The sequence below is a fragment of the Homo sapiens genome, chromosome 13 (genome assembly GCF_000001405.40).
Source record: "Homo sapiens chromosome 13, GRCh38.p14 Primary Assembly".
NCBI lineage: Eukaryota > Metazoa > Chordata > Mammalia > Primates > Hominidae > Homo > Homo sapiens.
Window position 1 is genome coordinate 49,014,634 of NC_000013.11, and position 18,644 is coordinate 49,033,277.

Consider the following 18,644-nt stretch of genomic DNA (forward strand, 5'->3'; position numbering starts at 1 on the left):
TGCCATTGCTTTTGGTGTTTTAGACATGAAGTCCTTGCCCATGCCTATGTCCTGAATGGTAATGCCTAGGTTTTCTTCTAGGGTTTTTATGGTTTTAGGTCTAACGTTTAAGTCTTTAATCCATCTTGAATTGATTTTTGTATAAGGTGTAAGGAAGGGATCCAGTTTCAGCTTTCTACATATGGCTAGCCAGTTTTCCCAGCACCATTTATTAAATAGGGAATCCTTTCCCCATTGCTTGTTTTTCTCAGGTTTGTCAAAGATCAGATAGTTGTAGATATGTGGCGTTATTTCTGAGGGCTCTGTTCTGTTCCATTGATCTATATCTCTGTTTTGGTACCAGTACCATGCTGTTTTGGTTACTGTGGCCTTGTAGTATAGTTTGAAGTCAGGTAGCGTGATGCCTCCAGCTTTGTTCTTTTGGCTTAGGATTGACTTGGCGATGCGGTCTCTTTTTAGGTTCCATATGAACTTTAAAGTAGTTTTTTCCAATTCTGTGAAGAAAGTCATTGGTAGCTTGATGGGGATGGCATTGAATCTGTAAATTACCTTGGGCAGTATGGCCATTTTCACGATACTGATTCTTCCTACCCATTAGCATGGAATGTTCTTCCATTTGTTTGTATCCTCTTTTATCTCCTTGAGCAATGGTTTGTAGTTCTCCTTGAAGAGGTCCTTCACATCCCTTGTAAGTTGGATTCCTAGGTATTTTATTCTCTTTGAAGCAATAGTGAATGGGAGTTCACTCATGATTTGGCTCTCTGTTTGTCTGTTGTTGGTGTATAAGGATGCTTGTGATTTTTGTACATTGATTTTGTATCCTGAGACTTTGCTGAAGTTGCTTATCAGCTTAAGAAGATTTTGGGCTGAGACAGTGGGGTTTTCTCGATATACAATCATGTCGTCTGCAAACGGGGACAATTTGACTTCCTCTTTTCCTAATTGAATACCCTTTATTTCCTTCTCCTGCCTAATTGCCCTGGCCAGAACTTCCAACACTATGTTGAATAGGAGTGGTGAGAGAGGAGGGCATCCCTGTCTTGTGCCAGTTTTCAAAGGGAATGCTTCCAGTTTTTGCCCATTCAGTATGATATTGGCTGTGGGTTTGTCATAGATAGCTCTTATTATTTTGAAATACGTCCCATCAATACCTAATTTATTGAGAGTTTTTAGCATGAAGCGTTGTTGAATTTTGTCAAAGGCCTTTTCTGCATCTATTGAGATAATCATGTGGTTTTTGTCTTTGGTTCTGTTTATATGCTGGATTACATTTATTGATTTGCGTATATTGAACCAGCCTTGCATCCCAGGGATGAAGCCCACTTGATCATGGTGGATAAGCTTTTTGATGTGCTGCTGGATTCGGTTTGCCAGTATTTTATTGAGGATTTTTGCATCAATGTTCATCAAGGACATTGGTCTAAAATTCTCTTTTTTTGTTGTGTCTCTGCCTGGCTTTGGTATCAGGATGATGCTGGCCTCATAAGATGAGTTAGGGAGGATTCCCTCTTTTTCTGTTGATTGGAATAGTTTCAGAAGGAATGGTACCAGTTCCTCCTTCTATCTCTGGTAGAATTCAGCTGTGAATCCATCTGGTCCTGGACTCTTTTTGGTTGGTAAGCTATTGATTATTGCCACAATTTCAGCTCCTGTTATTGGTCTATTCAGAGATTCAACTTCTTCCTGGTTTAGTCTTGGGAGAGTGTATGTGTCGAGGAATGTATCCATTTCTTCTAGATTTTCTAGTTTATTTGCGTAGAGGTGTTTGTAGTATTCTCTGATGGTAGTTTGTATTTCTGTGGGATCTGGTGATATCCCCTTTATCATTTTTTATTGTATCTATTTGATTCTTCTCTCTTTTTTTCTTTATTAGTCTTGCTAGTGGTCTATCAATCTTGTTGATCCTTTCAAAAAACCAGCTCCTGGATTCATTAATTTTTTGAAGGGTTTTGTGTGTCTCTATTTCCTTCAGTTCTGCTCTGATTTTAGTTATTTCTTGCCTTCTGCTAGCTTTTGAATGTGTTTGCTCTTGCTTTTCTAATTCTTTTAATTGTGATGTTAGGGTGTCAATTTTGGATCTTTCCTGCTTCCTCTTGTGGGCATTTAGTGCTATAAATTTCCCTCTACACACTGCTTTGAATGCGTCCCAGAGATTCTGGTATGTTGCGTCTTTGTTCTCGTTGGTTTCAAAGAACATCTTTATTTCTGCCTTCATTTCGTTATGTACCCAGTAGTCATTCAGGAGCAGGTTGTTCAGTTTCCATGTAGTTGAGCGGTTTTGAGTGAGATTCTTAATCCTGAGTTCTAGTTTGATTGCACTGTGGTCTGAGAGATAGTTTGTTATAATGTCTGTTCTTTTACATTTGCTGAGGAGAGCTTTACTTCCAAGTATGTGGTCAATTTTGGAATAGGTGTGGTGTGGTGCTGAAAAAAATGTATATTCTGTTGATTTGGGGTGGAGAGTTCTGCAGATGTCTATTAGGTCTGCTTGGTGCAGAGCTGAGTTCAATTCCTGGGTATCCTTGCTGACTTTCTGTCTCGTTGATCTGTCTAATGTTGACAGTGGGGTGTTAAAGTCTCCCATTATTAATGTGTGGGAGTCTAAGTCTCTTTGTAGGTCACTCAGGACTTGCTTTATGAGTCTTGGTGCTCCTGTATTGAGTGCACATATATTTAGGATAGTTAGCTCTTCTTGTTGAATTGATCCCTTTACCATTATGTAATGGCCTTCTTTGTCTCTTTTGATCTTTGTTGGTTTAAAGTCGTTTTATTAGATACTAGGATTGCAACCCCTGCCTTTTTTTGTTTTCCATTTGCTTGGTAGATCTTCCTCCATCCTTTTATTTTGAGCCTATGTGTGTCTCTGCACATGAGATGGGTTTCCTGAATACAGCACACTGATGGGTCCTGACTTTTTATCAAATTTGCCAGTCTGTGTCTTTTAGTTGGAGCATTTAGTCCATTTACATTTAAAGTTAATATTGTTATGTGTGAATTTGATCCTGTCATTATGATGTTAGCTGGTTATTTTGCTCATTAGTTCATGCAGTTTCTTCCTATTCTCGATGGTCTTTACATTTTGGCATGATTTTGCAGCAGCTGGTCCTGGTTGTTCCTTTCCATGTTTAGCGCTTCCTTCAGGAGCTCTTTTAGGGCAGGCCTGGTGGTGACAAAATCTCTCAGCATTTGCTTGTCTGTAAAGTATTTTATTTCTCCTTCACTTACGAAGCTTAGTTTGGCTGGATATGAAATTCTGGGTTGAAAATTCTTTTCTTTAAGAATGTTGGATATTGGCCCCTACTCTCTTCTGGCTTGTAGAGTTTCTGCCGAGAGATCCGCTGGTAGTCTGATGGGCTTCCCTTTTTGGGTAACCCGACCCTTCTCTCTGGCTGCCCTTAACATTTTTTCCTTCATTTCAACTTTGGTGAATCTGACAATTATGTGTCTTGGAGTTGCTCTTCTCGAGGAGTATCTTTGTGGCGTTCTCTGTATTTCCTGAATCTGAACGTTGGCCTGTCTTGCTAGATTGGGGAAGTTCTCCTGGATAATATCCTGCAGAGTGTTTTCCAACTTGGTTCTATTCTCCCCGTCACTTTCAGGTACACCAATCAGACGTAGATTTGGTCTTTTCACATAGTCGCATATTTCTTGGAGGCTTTATTCGTTTCTTTTTATTCTTTTTTCTCTAAACTTCCCTTCTCGCTTCATTTCATTCACTTCATCTTCCATCGCTGATACCCTTTCTTCCAGTTGATCGCATCGGCTCCTGAGGCTTCTGCATTCTTCACGTAGTTCTCGAGCGTTGGTTTTCAGCTCCATCAGCTCCTTTAAGCACTTCTCTGTATTGGTTATTCTAGTTATACATTATTCTAAACTTTTTTCAAAGTTTTCAACTTCTTTGCCTTTGGTTTGAATTTCCTCCCGTAGCTCGGAATAATTTGATCGTCTGAAGCCTTCTTCTCTCAGCTCGTCAAAGTCATTCTCTGTCCAGCTTTGTTCCCTTGCTGGTGAGGAACTGCATTCCTTTGGAGGAGGAGAGGTGCTCTGCTTTTTAGAGTTTCCAGTTTTTCTGCTCTGTTCTTTCCCCATCTTTGTGGTTTTATCTACTTTTGGTCTTTGATGATGGTGATGTACAGATGGGTTTTTGGTGTGGATGTCCTTTCTGTTTGTTAGTTTTCCTTCTAACAGACAGGACCCTCAGCTGCAGGTCTGTTGGAGTACCCGGCCGTGTGAGGTGTCAGTCTGCCCCTGCTGGGGGTGCCTCCCAGTTGGGCTGCTTGGGGGGTCAGGGGTCAGGGACCCACTTGAGGAGGCAGTCTGCCCGTTCTCAGATCTCCAGCTGCGTGCTGGGAGAACCACTGCTCTCTTCAAAGCTGTCAGACAGGGACATTTAAGTCTGCAGAGGTTACTGCTGTCTTTTTGTTTGTCTGTGCCCTGCCCCCAGAGGTGGAGCCTACAGCGGCAGGCAGGCCTCCTGGAGCTGTGGTGGGCTCCACCCAGTTCGAGCTTCTGGGCTGCTTTGTTTACCTGAGCAAGCCTGGGCAATGGCGGGCGCCCCTCCCCCAGCCTCGCTGCTGCCTTGCAGTTTGATCTCAGACTGCTGTGCTAGCAATCAGCGAGACTCCGTGGGCGTAGGACCCTCTGAGCTAGGTGCGGGATATAATCTTCTGGTGCGCCGTTTTTTAAGCCCGTCGGAAAAGCGCAGTAGGCGGGTGGGAGTGACCCAATTTTCCAGGTGCCGTCTGTCACCCCTTTCTTTGACTAGGAAAGGGAACTCCCTGACCCCTTGTGCTTCCGGAGTGAGGCAATGCCTCGCCCTGCTTCGGCTCACGCAGGGTGCGCGCACCCACTGACCTGCGCCCACTGTCTGGCACTCCCTAGTGAGATGAACCCGGTACCTCAGATGGAAATGCAGAAATCACCCATCTTCTGCGTCGCTCTCTCTGGGAGCTGTAGACCGGAGCTGTTCCTATTCGGCCATCTTGGCTCCTCCCCTACATTAATTTTTCAATGTTTAACTGACAGTATATTTCTGGCTAAACCCAATTTCATTGTGATACATTGTTCTTTTAATGTATTGCTGGATTGGGGTATGCTAATATTTTTTCTTGGATTTTATTTTTAGTCTGTGTTCATGAGTGAGACTGTCCTATAATGGGCATTTCCCTAATATCCTGAGTTGGTATCAAAGATGTGCTGAACTAAACTGTGGAGTTTACCCTTTTGTTTCTTATTCTTTGGTTAAATTTGTGTTTGTTTAAAATTGTTTCTTCCTCATTTGGTATAACTTGTTCAGTGAAATCTTCTGAACCTAAGTTTCTTTGACTGAAGTATAGAAATGAAGAAGCAAATCAGATGCATACTGTGAATACTTCATCTTAAGTTTGGAAGTACATTTTTATAATACTGAGGTAATCTGTGTATATTTGTTATGTAAGTGGTATTAAAATGGTTAAGAAAAGTTGAGTTTTTAAATAAATTTAATAAGAACTATTTAAGCACTTATGATCAGGCATTTGAGGCATTTAAAATAAAATTTATTGATGTTATTAATGCAGATTAAAATGTTTAAGGAGAGTGAAGCTAGGGAAGGAAAATATTGTAATATCAGATTAAAAAAACCTGAATTAAGGTCATGTTAATGATACACGATTTGAGAAATATTAAGGAGGTAAAATTGGTGAACAAGTCATAGAACAAAACTAAGAGAGGGGATAAAAATTTCCCCAGGATTTTCTTTGAAAATGTAAGTGGATAGCAAGACCATTTACTAAGTAGTTAAGTCTTATCAGTCAGAATAGGCAAGATTATTTTGTGGTAACAAACAGCTTCTTAATCTCTGTAGTTTACCAAAAGGTTTATTGCTCATACTGCACGTCCTTCACAGGTTTGCTGTGGCTGTGCGCCACATAGTCTTCACCTGAGACCCAGCCCCTAAATAGAATGTTGCTGGTATCCTGGTGAACTACTTGCTGATCTCCATTCCATTTTATGGACCAACACAAGGCACATGGCCAAACTTGCCATCAGTGTTGGGGGGTTATAATAGCAGCTACTGTTTGAGCCCTTACCCTGTGTTCAGACACTGAGGCAAGTAATGCATTATTTCATTTAATCTTCATAACAGTTCTTAGAAGTAGCTTTAATATTTCCATTTTATAGAAACTAAGAATCAGAAAGGTGTTAACTTGTTACTAGGTTAAGTAACATAGCTTCTGAAAGGCAAAAACCAGGATTCAAAGCTAAGTCTTTAAAATTCCTAATCATTTATCATGGTCTTAATCACTATAAAAATAGTAAATTAATGGATTAAATTTCAGGAAAAAGATCTGATTCGAACCAGAGATGTAGAAATTATCAGAATAGTCAGGGTAGTGAAGCCATAGGAATTAATGAGTTTATTCATACTGAGAGAATTTCAATTTGATATGGGAAAAAAATGTTAGTAATTTCTGATATAACACCCTAGTGAGTAGGCCTATGTAACTGGTATTAAAATGATTAATATATACTGCCAAAATGAAAGTAGGTTTATATAATACTACACCTTAACTTGAACACACTAGAGCTTTTCAAAGCCCCTATATGAACATCTTATTCTGCAGCTTTTCCTGTCCAAGTTTTTGGTTAGCTTCTTGTTTTCCCTATTGTTATCCTCACCACAAGCCAACTGTGATGTTAAACCAACTGCCACTGATTGTTTTACACATGCTCCCCAGGGGGAAAGCTATTTGCAATAAGGGAGCTCTGAGTTAGGACAAATCAAGACAAGCCCTGGGACTGGGTGTTTCCAGGGAACTGCCAGACAGGTCAAATATGACAGTTCTTTTGGAGATGAGACTTTTACGGTATTCCAAACCATTCTTTCCCTTCCAGTGGCTGCTAGTCTGCTGGTTTTTACTGCTGCTGTGATTCTGAGACTTTTCCAAGGCTTTTGTGAAGCTGGGGAGACAGAGTAGGGAATAGAGCAAATTAAAATGACACAAAGCTCACTGTCCATATCAGGATCTAGCTGTTTTCCCTGAACATACTGTTGCAAGCCTTTGGTTAATTTCTAGAGTTCCAAAAAAAATTAGTTTTGACGATTTACGCCTGTGTTCTCACTGCTGTTATGGAGCAATGGATTTTTGGAGGTTAACACTGTGTCATTCCTAATGATATCTTCCAAAATGGAGTTTTTATGGAATAAAAATGCAGTATGATCAGAGTAGGGCCAGTTCTCTATGTAATACAACATTTTTTCTAGTGTCATTTTATATTTTTATATTGATATCTAAACTTTGGAAAACAGTGTTTATTATTTACCAACATGTACAATGAATAAATTTCTTCATCATATGACTGTATATATAGAATAAAACTATGTTCAAAGCCTGCTGGGTGAACAATTGTAAAAAGGTATTTTTTTCATCTGACTCAGACCCTTACTTCAGAAATTTACAATGAATAAACCATTTCACAGGTCAGTAAGTTTCCTTACTTGAGGGCCCTCATCATTTTTGTTGATACATGTTAAGCTTTCATGCATAGCAGGCCTTTGGTTAGACCCTTCATCGAGAATTGTCTCAAAAACATTCAGAGCATTTTGTCCAGAGGAAACTAAAGACAAACCAGAAAAAGCAGAGCTAGGTAGTAGAGTAAAGGTGCTTCCCCCTTTTTACATTACCTAAAACAAACCTAAAAACAAAGCTCTACATGTTTGTTTCTGAGATTAGCTTTTACATAATGTTACTTTGGGTTAAACTTTTATCTCCATGGAAGTTGTGTTTGGTTTAAATGGAAATAAGAAGGAAAACTTTCACCAATAGCCAAAAATCTAATGTAAAAACTTTAAAAAGTGCTCACATTTTTAAGTTCAAAAAGTTACAAATTTGTAAATATATGCATTTAAAAATCTGATAGCTTCCATGCTAAGCTATAAACATAAACCTTAGGAATGAGGCTACTGAGACTGAAATAAAGCTTATACTTTTGTGACAATAATTTTGTGCCTCAGAATTCTAATACAAACCATTAATCATAGATTTCATGGCCCAAATTAGTCATCTTCTAACTGCTATGCAGCTTTGCCTGGCAAATAAATAGTGGTTTGCTAAATTTCTCATTCTTAGAAGCTTTGGAAAGGCTAGAATTTAAACATTACTCTCCTTTTTCAATTAGTTTTTTTCTCCCACACGTCTGCACCATGCCACTTTCTGTGACATTTCCTTAGAAAATCAAATATTTTTGAAAAATTCTAGTGCTATTACCGTTAACTTTTCTTTAGACATAAAAAGCCTTATGCTCAAGGTTCAGATCTGAAAATTTGCTTAGTTATCACATTTTTGTAAGCACACATTTTAAAAAATTTATGATAAATATTAAGCTAGGTTGTCCTGGAAAAAAATTAACTTCACACATATTCAGGTTCTGTCTGTGTATAAAATATTGCACTGGTTCTTGTTTTAAGAGATGATAAAATCAGATTTACAAATTGGGTGTAAATTTTAAGATAGTCTAAAGGGAAGAAAGGTTCATAAAATATCAGTCAGGAACAGAGTTACAAAGAATGCAGACTGGAATTTAGTTTTTATATTTGGCACAAAATAATAAAATTGTATTCTTATTGAATGACTTGAGACCAATACCATTTCATCTGTTCATTTTTTAAACTATATATATTTCCAATAAAACAAAAATTGGGCAAATTATTTTATTTAGTTGAAAAATTATTTCATTTTAAAAGTGGACAGTAAAATACTTTCATGTAATTCAAGCTAATATGACAAAACTAAAATATTTTGTAGCGTTTTTATACTATCTTAATATATATTTTTATATATTTAATATGTTTTTAAAACTGTTATGAAAGAGAATCATCAAACTCTTAAAATAAACATCTTACAGAAATGAAACATAATGGTCCTGGAATTTTGAGGGATTCTTGGTCTAAAAAGAATTGATGTTCTATTAAACTCCTACATATTCTACAGTTAAATTCCAAACTCTGATTCAGAGTGACTCAAAAGTTAGTCAACTCCTGTGCCCCAGAATCCTGTAGAAATTGTTAACTTTTAAGTAATATAGTTTGGACTAAAGCAAGGAGGAAATAAAGAATGACTTGAAAGTAGCACTGTATAAATAGGGAAATGCATTCAACTAAAAAACAAAGATGTTTCCCACTTTTGCAAGTGTCCTTACATTAGATTAATATAAAGCAAGATGATTTTTGTCAAAAAGTGTACAGATAGTTGTTGAAGTAGAAATTGAGTTCTGCTTTTTCAACTCATAACGTTCTCCTTTCATATAAAAATAAAAAAGATTACAAAACCAAAAGTGAGTTTCTTGAAAAGATTAACAAAATTGACTAGCCATTAGCTAGGCTAAGAAGAAAAAGAGATAAATAAATAAATCAAAAATTTAAAAGGAGACATCACAACGGATACCACAGAAATACAAAGGATTATTAGAGACTACTATGAACAACTATATGTCAATAAATTTGAAAAACTAGAGGAAATCGATAAATTACTGGACACATTCAACCAACCAAAATTGGAACAAGAAGAAGTAGAAAACCTAAACGGACCAATAACAAGTAATGAGATTGAATTTTTAATAATGTCTCCCAAGAAAGAAAAGTCCAGGACCAGATGGCCTCACTGCTGAATTCTATGGAACCTTTAAAGAATAATTAATACCAGTTTTCCTCAAATTATTCCAAAAAGTTAAAGCAGAAAGAACTGTTCCTAACCATTTCCATGAGGCAAACATAACCCTGATACCGAAACTGTACAAGGACACAACAGAAAAAGAAAGCTAAAGACCAATATCCCTGATGGACATAGACACAAAAATCCTCAACAAAATACTATGTAACAAACTGAATCCAACAATTCATCAAAAAGATAATACACCATGATCAAGTGAGATTTATCACAGGAATGTAAGAATTGTTCAACATACGTAAATCAGTAAGTGTGATACATGACATCAACATAATGAAGGACAAGAACCATAAAACCTCTCACTAGATGAAGAAAAAGTATTTGATAAATTCAGCATCCCTTCATGATTTTAAAAAAAAACCCTCAATAAATTAGGTACAGAAGGAAAGTACCTCAATGCAATAAAGGCCATATATGACAAACCCACAACTAATATCATGCTGAATGGGGAAAAGCCGAAAGCTTTTTCTCTAGGAACTGAAAAATAATTGGTTTTAATGAGTCCCAAATTAGCCAACCCACTTATACTGTTGTTTTTCCTTTCAATAATCATTTTTAAGTAGTAGTAGTTCATATTTTGCCTATTTTTCTCTCTGCTTCTAAAAGTGATTAGAAAAAAATATTTTGTTGCTACTACTGTTATTTTCTTCAGTGTCTTAAATTATCTCCTAAATAGCTTTTTTGTGCTTGCTCCACATAGATAGATAGAGGAATCATGGCTGTAGGACAAACCGTAAATCATTAGATTTAAAATAGGTTAGTTTTCAAATACTGCTTTTTTGGAATTGAAATACAATTCCATTTCATAAGTATTTACTAAGGTAACTACTACTAGATATAATTTATGTTCCTGAGGATTTATAATTTAGCACATGAGTGTGCCTGTGCACACTGGTTTATAACATTATAAACCAATATATGGCAGTTTGAACAAAAGTGATTTAGATAGCTTTTCTCATCACTATTGACTTGGTAATACTTGATATACTTGAAAAATGTATATTCTAATATTTTCTTTTTTCAAGATTTCAGCATGACTCTGAGTAATCTATTACATTCTAAAGTAATTCTTTAGAATGTCTGAATAAAATACCTGTTCTTTAACTAGTAAGCATAGTAAGCATTAATTTCAGTGTCTTATATGTGTCCTCAAACATGTTATTGACCACTTAATAGCCTATATACCTATATAATACAGAAACTGGCATTTACAGCTAAAACAGCTGGTAAACTTAACTGATACACTAATGAGTGCTAATTGTATAAGGAAAGAATTTAACATTAGTCATAAAGTTGGCCACAAAGGGCCTGTATGTGAAATACCCTATCTTGAGGTGATTAATTGGACTTATTAAAAGTTTGGGGGAAGAAAGGAGATTGGAGTTATGTTCTAAAGAAAAAAAAATGCAAATTAAAACCTTAATGAGATTGTAGATGTTAAGGAACCTGACAGTATAGTAAGGCTTGTGGAGCAATAGGATCCATCAGATACTGCTGGCACAGTCAATTTGGAGAGTGATAATAGCAGTATTTAATAAAGCTGAAAAAATGTATCTTCCAAATCCAACACATATATACTTCTAAATATTTCTCTTACAGAAAATCTTATATATAAGGCACACATGTGCAAAACTATTCTCTGCATTTTGTAATAATGATAGAACTGGAAACAGTATAAATGTTTACTAGTAGGGAAATGGAGAAGATTTGAGAGGATTTATGTAATGGAATACTAGAATACTATATACCAGTATTTTATTGTGTGAATCTATACTATGGATAAATCTCAAAAATACAGTATTGAGTAAAATAGCAGGTTAGGGATTTGTAAGATGTGAAGTCACTGATATAAATGAATAAAAATAAAAATTTCACAAAATAGCAGTGTATACTAATAATGGATGTATATAAGCATGCGTATGAAGAATACTAAATGAGAATGATACACTCCAAGTTCGGAAAAATGATCTGTAATAAAATTATATTTCTTTTTCAAAAGAGCATCTGAGGAAAATTCATCAACAAATTCTAGTTGATTCTGGAAAGTAAAGGATACAATACTGTCTACTTTTCTGTATGTTTAAAATATGATAAAAATATTAAAGACATGCCATTAGGCATTACAGACAGGGTAGTTGCTAAGAGGTTTTGTTTCATTTTGTTTTGTTTTATTGTTTTTTTAAGACAGGGTCCTGTTCTGTCACCCAGGCCAGAGTGCAGTGGTGTGATCATGGCTCACTGCAGCCTCAGTCTCCTGGGCTTAAGTGATCCTCCTGCCTCAGCCTCCTGAGTAGCTAGAACTACAGGCATATGCCACCACACCCAGCTAATTCTGTTATTTTTTTATAGAGACAGAGTCTCACTATGTTGCCCAGGCTGGTCTTGAACTCCTGGGCTCAAGTGATCTTCCTGCCTCGATAGAAGGTTTTGAGTGTTATATTCTAAGTTTTAGATTTGAGGTAATAAGATATAAGTAGCCAATAAAGTTTCTAAAGTAGATCAATGAAAAGATGAGAATAATCCTTGAGGAAAATTATTTGGTTAACTATATAGTTAAATGCAATGGAGTGGGGAGACAGCAGAGGAAGGATTGATTGGCTTATATATCCACCCCACCAAGCATAAAGTCCAGAGGATACCAACTGTGAAATAGAAAGTAAAGGGGGAAACCTGATAGTTTTTTTTTTAGAGAAAGAATGAGTATGATGAAATTTTGGAAATTCAAAACTGAAAGAGTGTACAGAAAAAAACAGTCCAATTCACATTTTTACAGATGGACAAACTAAAGGCTCATAGTTAGCCAGTTGACACACTGAGTGGCAGATTTGAGACTAGACTCAATATCTTCTGATCCCCCAGTCTCAGTCACTTTGGAGTAAGAAAGGACGTTGAGTTTAAACTCAAAATTCTACAACCCTTGGTTCTAGGTAAGTAATGATCTAGTTGATACTAATAAAACAGTTAGAAATGGCAGCACCAAACCGATAGGAATGGTTAGTGAATGCTTTTCCAACGCTGTCTCCTTACATTCAGTAGGAATGTTCACAAGACAGTTGAGTAGATACGAAGAAATAAAGAGGACCAGTAAACATAACCAGGTAAATACAGTATAAATGTATTAAAAAATTTTTTTCTGTCTGATTTAAAAGTGATTTGCAGAAAGCAATAATTATACACTGTTGGTTGGCTTATAAGGTATAAAAATGTAATTAGTGTTATAGCACAGAGGATAGGAGAGGGAACTGAGGTTAGAAAAGCAGTGTTTTTTACATACAATTGGAATTAATTGGATCAACATTATTATGAGTTAAGAGGTTAATTATAATCCCCAGGGCATCTACTAAGAAAAAATAACTCAAAAGAATATTGTAAAAGAAACAACAGGAGAATTAAAATAGAACATCAGAACATATTTAACATAAAAAAGGCAAAAATGGAGGAATTGAGGAACAAAAAAGATATAATATCATGCATAAAACAGAGCAAAATAGCAAACTGATAAGGCAAATCCTACCTTATCATTAAGTGCATTGCATCTAAATGGATCAAACATAACAGTGAAAAGATAGTTATTGACCAAATGGATAAAAATTCAGGTGCAATGGCTCACACTTGTAATCCCAGCACTTTGGAAGGCCAAGATTGGTGAATCACCTGAGGTCAGGAGTTTGAGACCAGCCTGACTAACATGGCGAAATCCTGTGTCTACTAAAAATACAAAAATTAGCCAGGTGTCTGGTGTCACCCACCTGTAGTCCCAGCTACTCAGGAGGCTGAGGCAGGAGAATCGCTTGAACCCCGGAGGCAGAGGTTGCAGTGTGCTGAGATTGCGCCACTGTACTCTAGCCTGGGCAACAGAGTGAGACTCTGTCTTAAAAAAAAAAAAATTCATGATTTAACTATGTGCACTCTATAAGAGACACTCTTTATTTTTTAAGAGACAGGGTCTTGCTCTATCACCAGGCTGAAGTGCAGTGGTGCCATTGTAGCCCTGAGCTCAAGTGATTCTCCTACCTCAGCCTCCTAAGTAGCTGGGACTCCAGGTGCATCCAGTTACACCCAGCTAATTTTTTAATTTCTTGTAGAAACCGAATCTCGCTTGTTGCCCAGGCTGGTCTCAAACTCCTGACTTCAAGTGATCCTCCAACCTCATCTTCCCAAAGTGCTAGATTACAGACATGAGCCACACTGTGCCCAGCCCAGGACACTCTTGAAATCAAAGACACAAATAGGTTGAAATGTAAAAGATAGAATAAGAGAACTTGTAACCCAAAGAGAAATGAAATGACTATACTAATAATTGACTTTAAGTCAGAAAAGTTACTAGAGACAAAGAAGGATGTTTTATAATGATAAAAGGGTAAATCTGCCTCTAACCATCAAGCTGCCAAATATCTGAAATAATGATTGACAGAATTGATGGGAGAAATAGACAATTGAACAATAATAGTTGGAGCCTTCAATAGGTAGAATATTAACAGGGAAATGGAAGGTATGAACGACACTGTAAACCTGATAGACATCTGTAGAACATTCCACCCAACAACAGCAGCATGTATAATATTTTCAAGTATACATGGATCATTGTCCATTATAGGGTATATACTAGGTCATAAAACTAGCAAGCTTCAATAGTAAGAATTTTTTTCTTGAGACAAGGTTTTACTTTGTCACCCAGGCTGGAGTGCAGTGACATAATCATGGCCCACTGCAGCCTTTGCCTCCTGAGCTCAAGTGGTCCTCCCACCTTAACCTCCCAAATAGCTAGGACCACAGATGTGCACCACCATGCCAGGCTGAAGTTTTTTTTTAGTAGAGACAGGGTCTCCCTCTGTTGCCCAGGCTTCAGTAAATTTAAAGAGATAGAAATAATACAAAGTATTTTCTTCAAACACAATGAAATGAAATTAGAAATCAATAACAGAGAAATTTGGGAAAATAACAAATATGTATAAATTAAAGAGTATATTTCTACAAAGCCAGTAGGCCAAAGAATAAATCACAAAGGAAATTAGAAAATACTTTGGTATGAACGAAAACCATGATACAACATACTAAAATTTATGAAATACTGCTGAAGTAATGGTTAAAGGAATACGTATACCCTTAAAAGCCTGTGTTTAAAAAGAAAGCTCTCAAATCAATTATCTAACCTTTTACTTTAAAAAGCTATAAAAAGAAGATAAAACTAAACCCAGAGCTGGCAGAAGAAAACAGTAAAGCTTAGAGTAGAAATAAATGAAATAAAGAACAGAAAAATATAGAAAATCAAAAATACCAAAAGTTGGCTCTTTGAAAAGATCAACAAAATTGCCAACCCTTTTAAGTAGACAAGAAAGAATGAATTGTTGGTGGTGCAGTGGTGAGCATAGCTGCTTTTCAAGAACAAAAAAGACTCAAATGACTAAAATCAAGAATGATCAAGAATGAGAGAGTAGACATTACTACAGATCTTACAGAAATGAAAGGATTATTAATGAGTACTGTGAACAGTTGCATGCCAACAAATAGTCTAAGTGAACTAGACAAATATCTAGAAAGACACAAAACAACCAAAACCGAATCAAGAAAAAAATATAAAATCTGAATACACGTATAACAAGTAAAGAGATTAAATTGGTACCACAAAGAAAAACTGTCACCAAGGTAAAGTCCAGACCCAGATGGCTTTTTTGGTGAATTCCACCAAATGTTTAAGGGAGAATTAACACCAAATCTAAAACTAAACCAGACAGAGACATTGCAAGAAAACCACAGACCAATATCCCTTATGAATATAGATATAAAATCCTCAACAAAGTACTAGCAAATCAAGTCCATGAACATATACAATTCTATTTTACTTCATTATGTACATCAACTAAGTGGGGTTTGTAGTAGGAATGTTGAAGTTGGTTCAACATACATAGAACAATCATTGTAATATACCACATGGTCATCTCAGTAGACTCAAAAGAAGCATTTGACAAAATTCAACACTTTTCATGATAAAAACACTCAGTATACAAGCAATAGAAGGGAACGTCCTCAACCTCATAAAAGGCATCTGCAAAAAAAACACAATTAACATTGTATGGAATGGTGAAAAACAGTATGCTTTTCCTCTAAGATGAGAAACAAGATATGGATGTCCTGCTGTCACCACTTCTATTCAACGTTGTACTGGAAGTCCTAGCCTGGGCAAATAAGTAACTAAAGGAATTAAAGGCCTCCAGGTTGGAAAAGGAATAAAACTCTATTCAAAGAGAACATGATCTTGTAAAAAGAAAATCTTAAAGAATCCACTGAAAAACTATTGGAACTAATAAACAAGTTCAGCAAGGTTGTGGGATATAGGTTCAATATAGAACAATAAATTGTATTTCTATATACGGGCAATGAACAATCTGAAAATGAAATTAAGAAAACTTTTTACAACAGAATAAAAAAGAATAAAATACTTAGGAATGTTTAATGAAAGAAATATAAGATGTATACACTGAAAACCATAAAACTCACTGAAAGAAATTAAGGAAGACTTAAACAAGTGGAAAAGCATCTGATGATCATAGATCAGAAGACTTAATATTGTTAAGGTGAAATACTGCCAAATTATACATATCCAATACGTTGCCTCCCAAATTCCCAGCTTACTTCTTTGTAGCTATTAACAAGTTGAGCCTAAAATTTGTATGGAAATGCAAGAAACACAGAATAGCCAAAATAATTTTGAAAAAGAGCACAGTGGGAGAATTCAGTGTTTCTCCATTTTAAAACTTACTGCAGACTGGGTGCAATGGCTCATGCCTGTAATCTTAGCACTTTGGGAGGCTGAAGTGAGCAGATCACTTGAGGTCAGAAGTTTGAGACCAGCCTGGCCAAGATGGTGAAACTCCATCTCTACTAAAAATACAAAAATTAGCATGGTGGTGTGCACCTGTAATTCCAGCTACTCGGGAGGCTGAGGCAGGAGAATCGCTTGAACCCGGGAAGCAGAGGTTGCAGTGAGCCGAGATCTCACCACTGCATGATCAGCCTGAGCAATGGAGTGAGACTCCATCTCAAATAAATAAATAAAACTTACTGCAAAGCTACAGTAATAAGACAGTGTGGTACTGGCCTAAGAATGGAATAGAATTGAGGGTCCTGAAATAAACTCTTTACATTTATGGTCATTTGGTTTTGACAAAGGTGCCTAGATGATTCTGCTGGGAAAGAATGGTCATTTCAACAAATGGTGCTGAAACAACTAGATATCCACATGTAAAAGTATGAAATAGGACCTATACTTCATACCATCTACAAAACTAACTCAAAAATCAATTAAAATCCTAAAATAAGAGCTAAATTGTAAGACCGTTAGAACAAAAAGGCATAAATCTCCGTGATCTTGAATTATGGAATTATTTCCTAGATAAAAAACTAAAAAGCACAAGTAGGAGAAGAAAAATGAGATACAGTATACTTCATCAAAATTGAATAATTTTGTGTTGTAAGTTTTGTGTTACTATCAGGAAACAAAAATCCACAAAATTGGAGGAAAAAATCCATAAAATTGGAGAAAATATCTGCAAACTGTATCTGATAAGGGGCTTGTATTCAGAATGTGTGAAGAACTCTTACTTCTTCTAAAAAGACAACCTAATAAAAAGGTGGGCAAAAGATTTGAAAAGTCATTTCTTCAAAGAAGTTATGTACATGTACTATAAGCATATGAAAGATTCACAACATCATCAGTCATCAGGGAAATGCAAATCAAAACCACAATGAGATACTGCTTCACACCCATTATAATGGGTAGAATTAAAAAGATAAAAACAAGTGTTAGCAACGATATGGAAAAATTGGAACCCTCATACACTGCTGGTGGGAATGTAAACTGGTAAATGTACTTTGGGAAATAGCCTGGCAGTTCCTAAGACAGTTAAACATAGTGTTACCCTATGACCCAGTAATTTCACTCCTAGGTATATATCCAAGAGAAACAAAAACATATGTCCATGTAAAAAAATGAACAGCATTATTTATATTAGCCAAAAAGTGGAAACACTCCAAATGTCCATCAACAGAGAAATGGATAAACAAAATATGGTATATCAGTAAAATGGAATATTATTATTTGGCTGTAAACTGGAATGAAGCACTTCAGTATATGCCGCAATGTGGATGAACCTCAAAAACATTATGCTAAGTGAAAGAAGCCAGTCTTAAAAGTCTACAGACTGGCTAACAGGGTGAAACCCCATCTCTACTAAAAATACAAAAAATTAGCCGGGTGTGGTGGAGGGCGCCTGTGGTCCCAGCTACTCGGGAGGCTGAGGCAGGAGAATGGCGTGAACCCGGGAGGCGGAGCTTGCAGTGAGCCGAGACCGCGCCACTGCACTCCAGCCTGGGCGACAGAGCGAGACTCCGTCTCAAAAAAAAAAAAGTCTATGGAAATTTCTTTTTGAGGTGATAAGAATGTTCTAAAATTTACTGTGGTAGTGATTGTACAGTTCTCTGTGTATACTAAAAACCATGAAATTATAACTCTTTACAGGGTAAATTTTATTGCATATAGATTATATCAATAAAAATATTTTTAAAGCCTATTTGCATTTTAAATATATGTTTATATAATTTAAATGTGATTAACAATCCAGAAATAAGTTATTATTATAAGACTAAGTATTATCAATCTTTCTTTGATAAATGGGTTAAATTTGTGGAGTCAGTTTTAGAATTAAAGCATTAATAGGTTATTTCTAGGTGTATGGGATTTGTACACTGATGCTTGTTTCTTTTATATATACATATATATAAACCGCAAATATACTGACATATTCCAAGATGAGAGCAAAAACAAAATAACTAAAAATGTGGCTTTAAAATAAAATATATTTGTAAACAGCATACTCTTAAATTCTGACTTGTTAACTGATACTGGATTATCTAGAAGCAGATGCTACTGCACTTCTT

General features: G+C 36.2%; 1 protein-coding gene across 5 annotated transcripts in view, besides 1 other annotated feature; it reads left to right on the top strand.

The window, feature by feature from the left end:
* The window catches only part of FNDC3A (fibronectin type III domain containing 3A), a 234,489-nt gene that overhangs the window by 39,343 nt on the left and 176,502 nt on the right, over positions 1-18,644 (top strand). The window lies entirely within an intron of this gene.
* Positions 6,449-6,998: an enhancer, noted in NCBI's record as "NANOG hESC enhancer chr13:49595218-49595767 (GRCh37/hg19 assembly coordinates)". NCBI's record gives its function as "activates a minimal SCP1, AML or CMV promoter by ChIP-STARR-seq in primed H9 embryonic stem cells {active_cell/tissue: H9 hESC(primed)}" and the evidence as "EXISTENCE:reporter gene assay evidence [ECO:0000049][PMID:30033119]".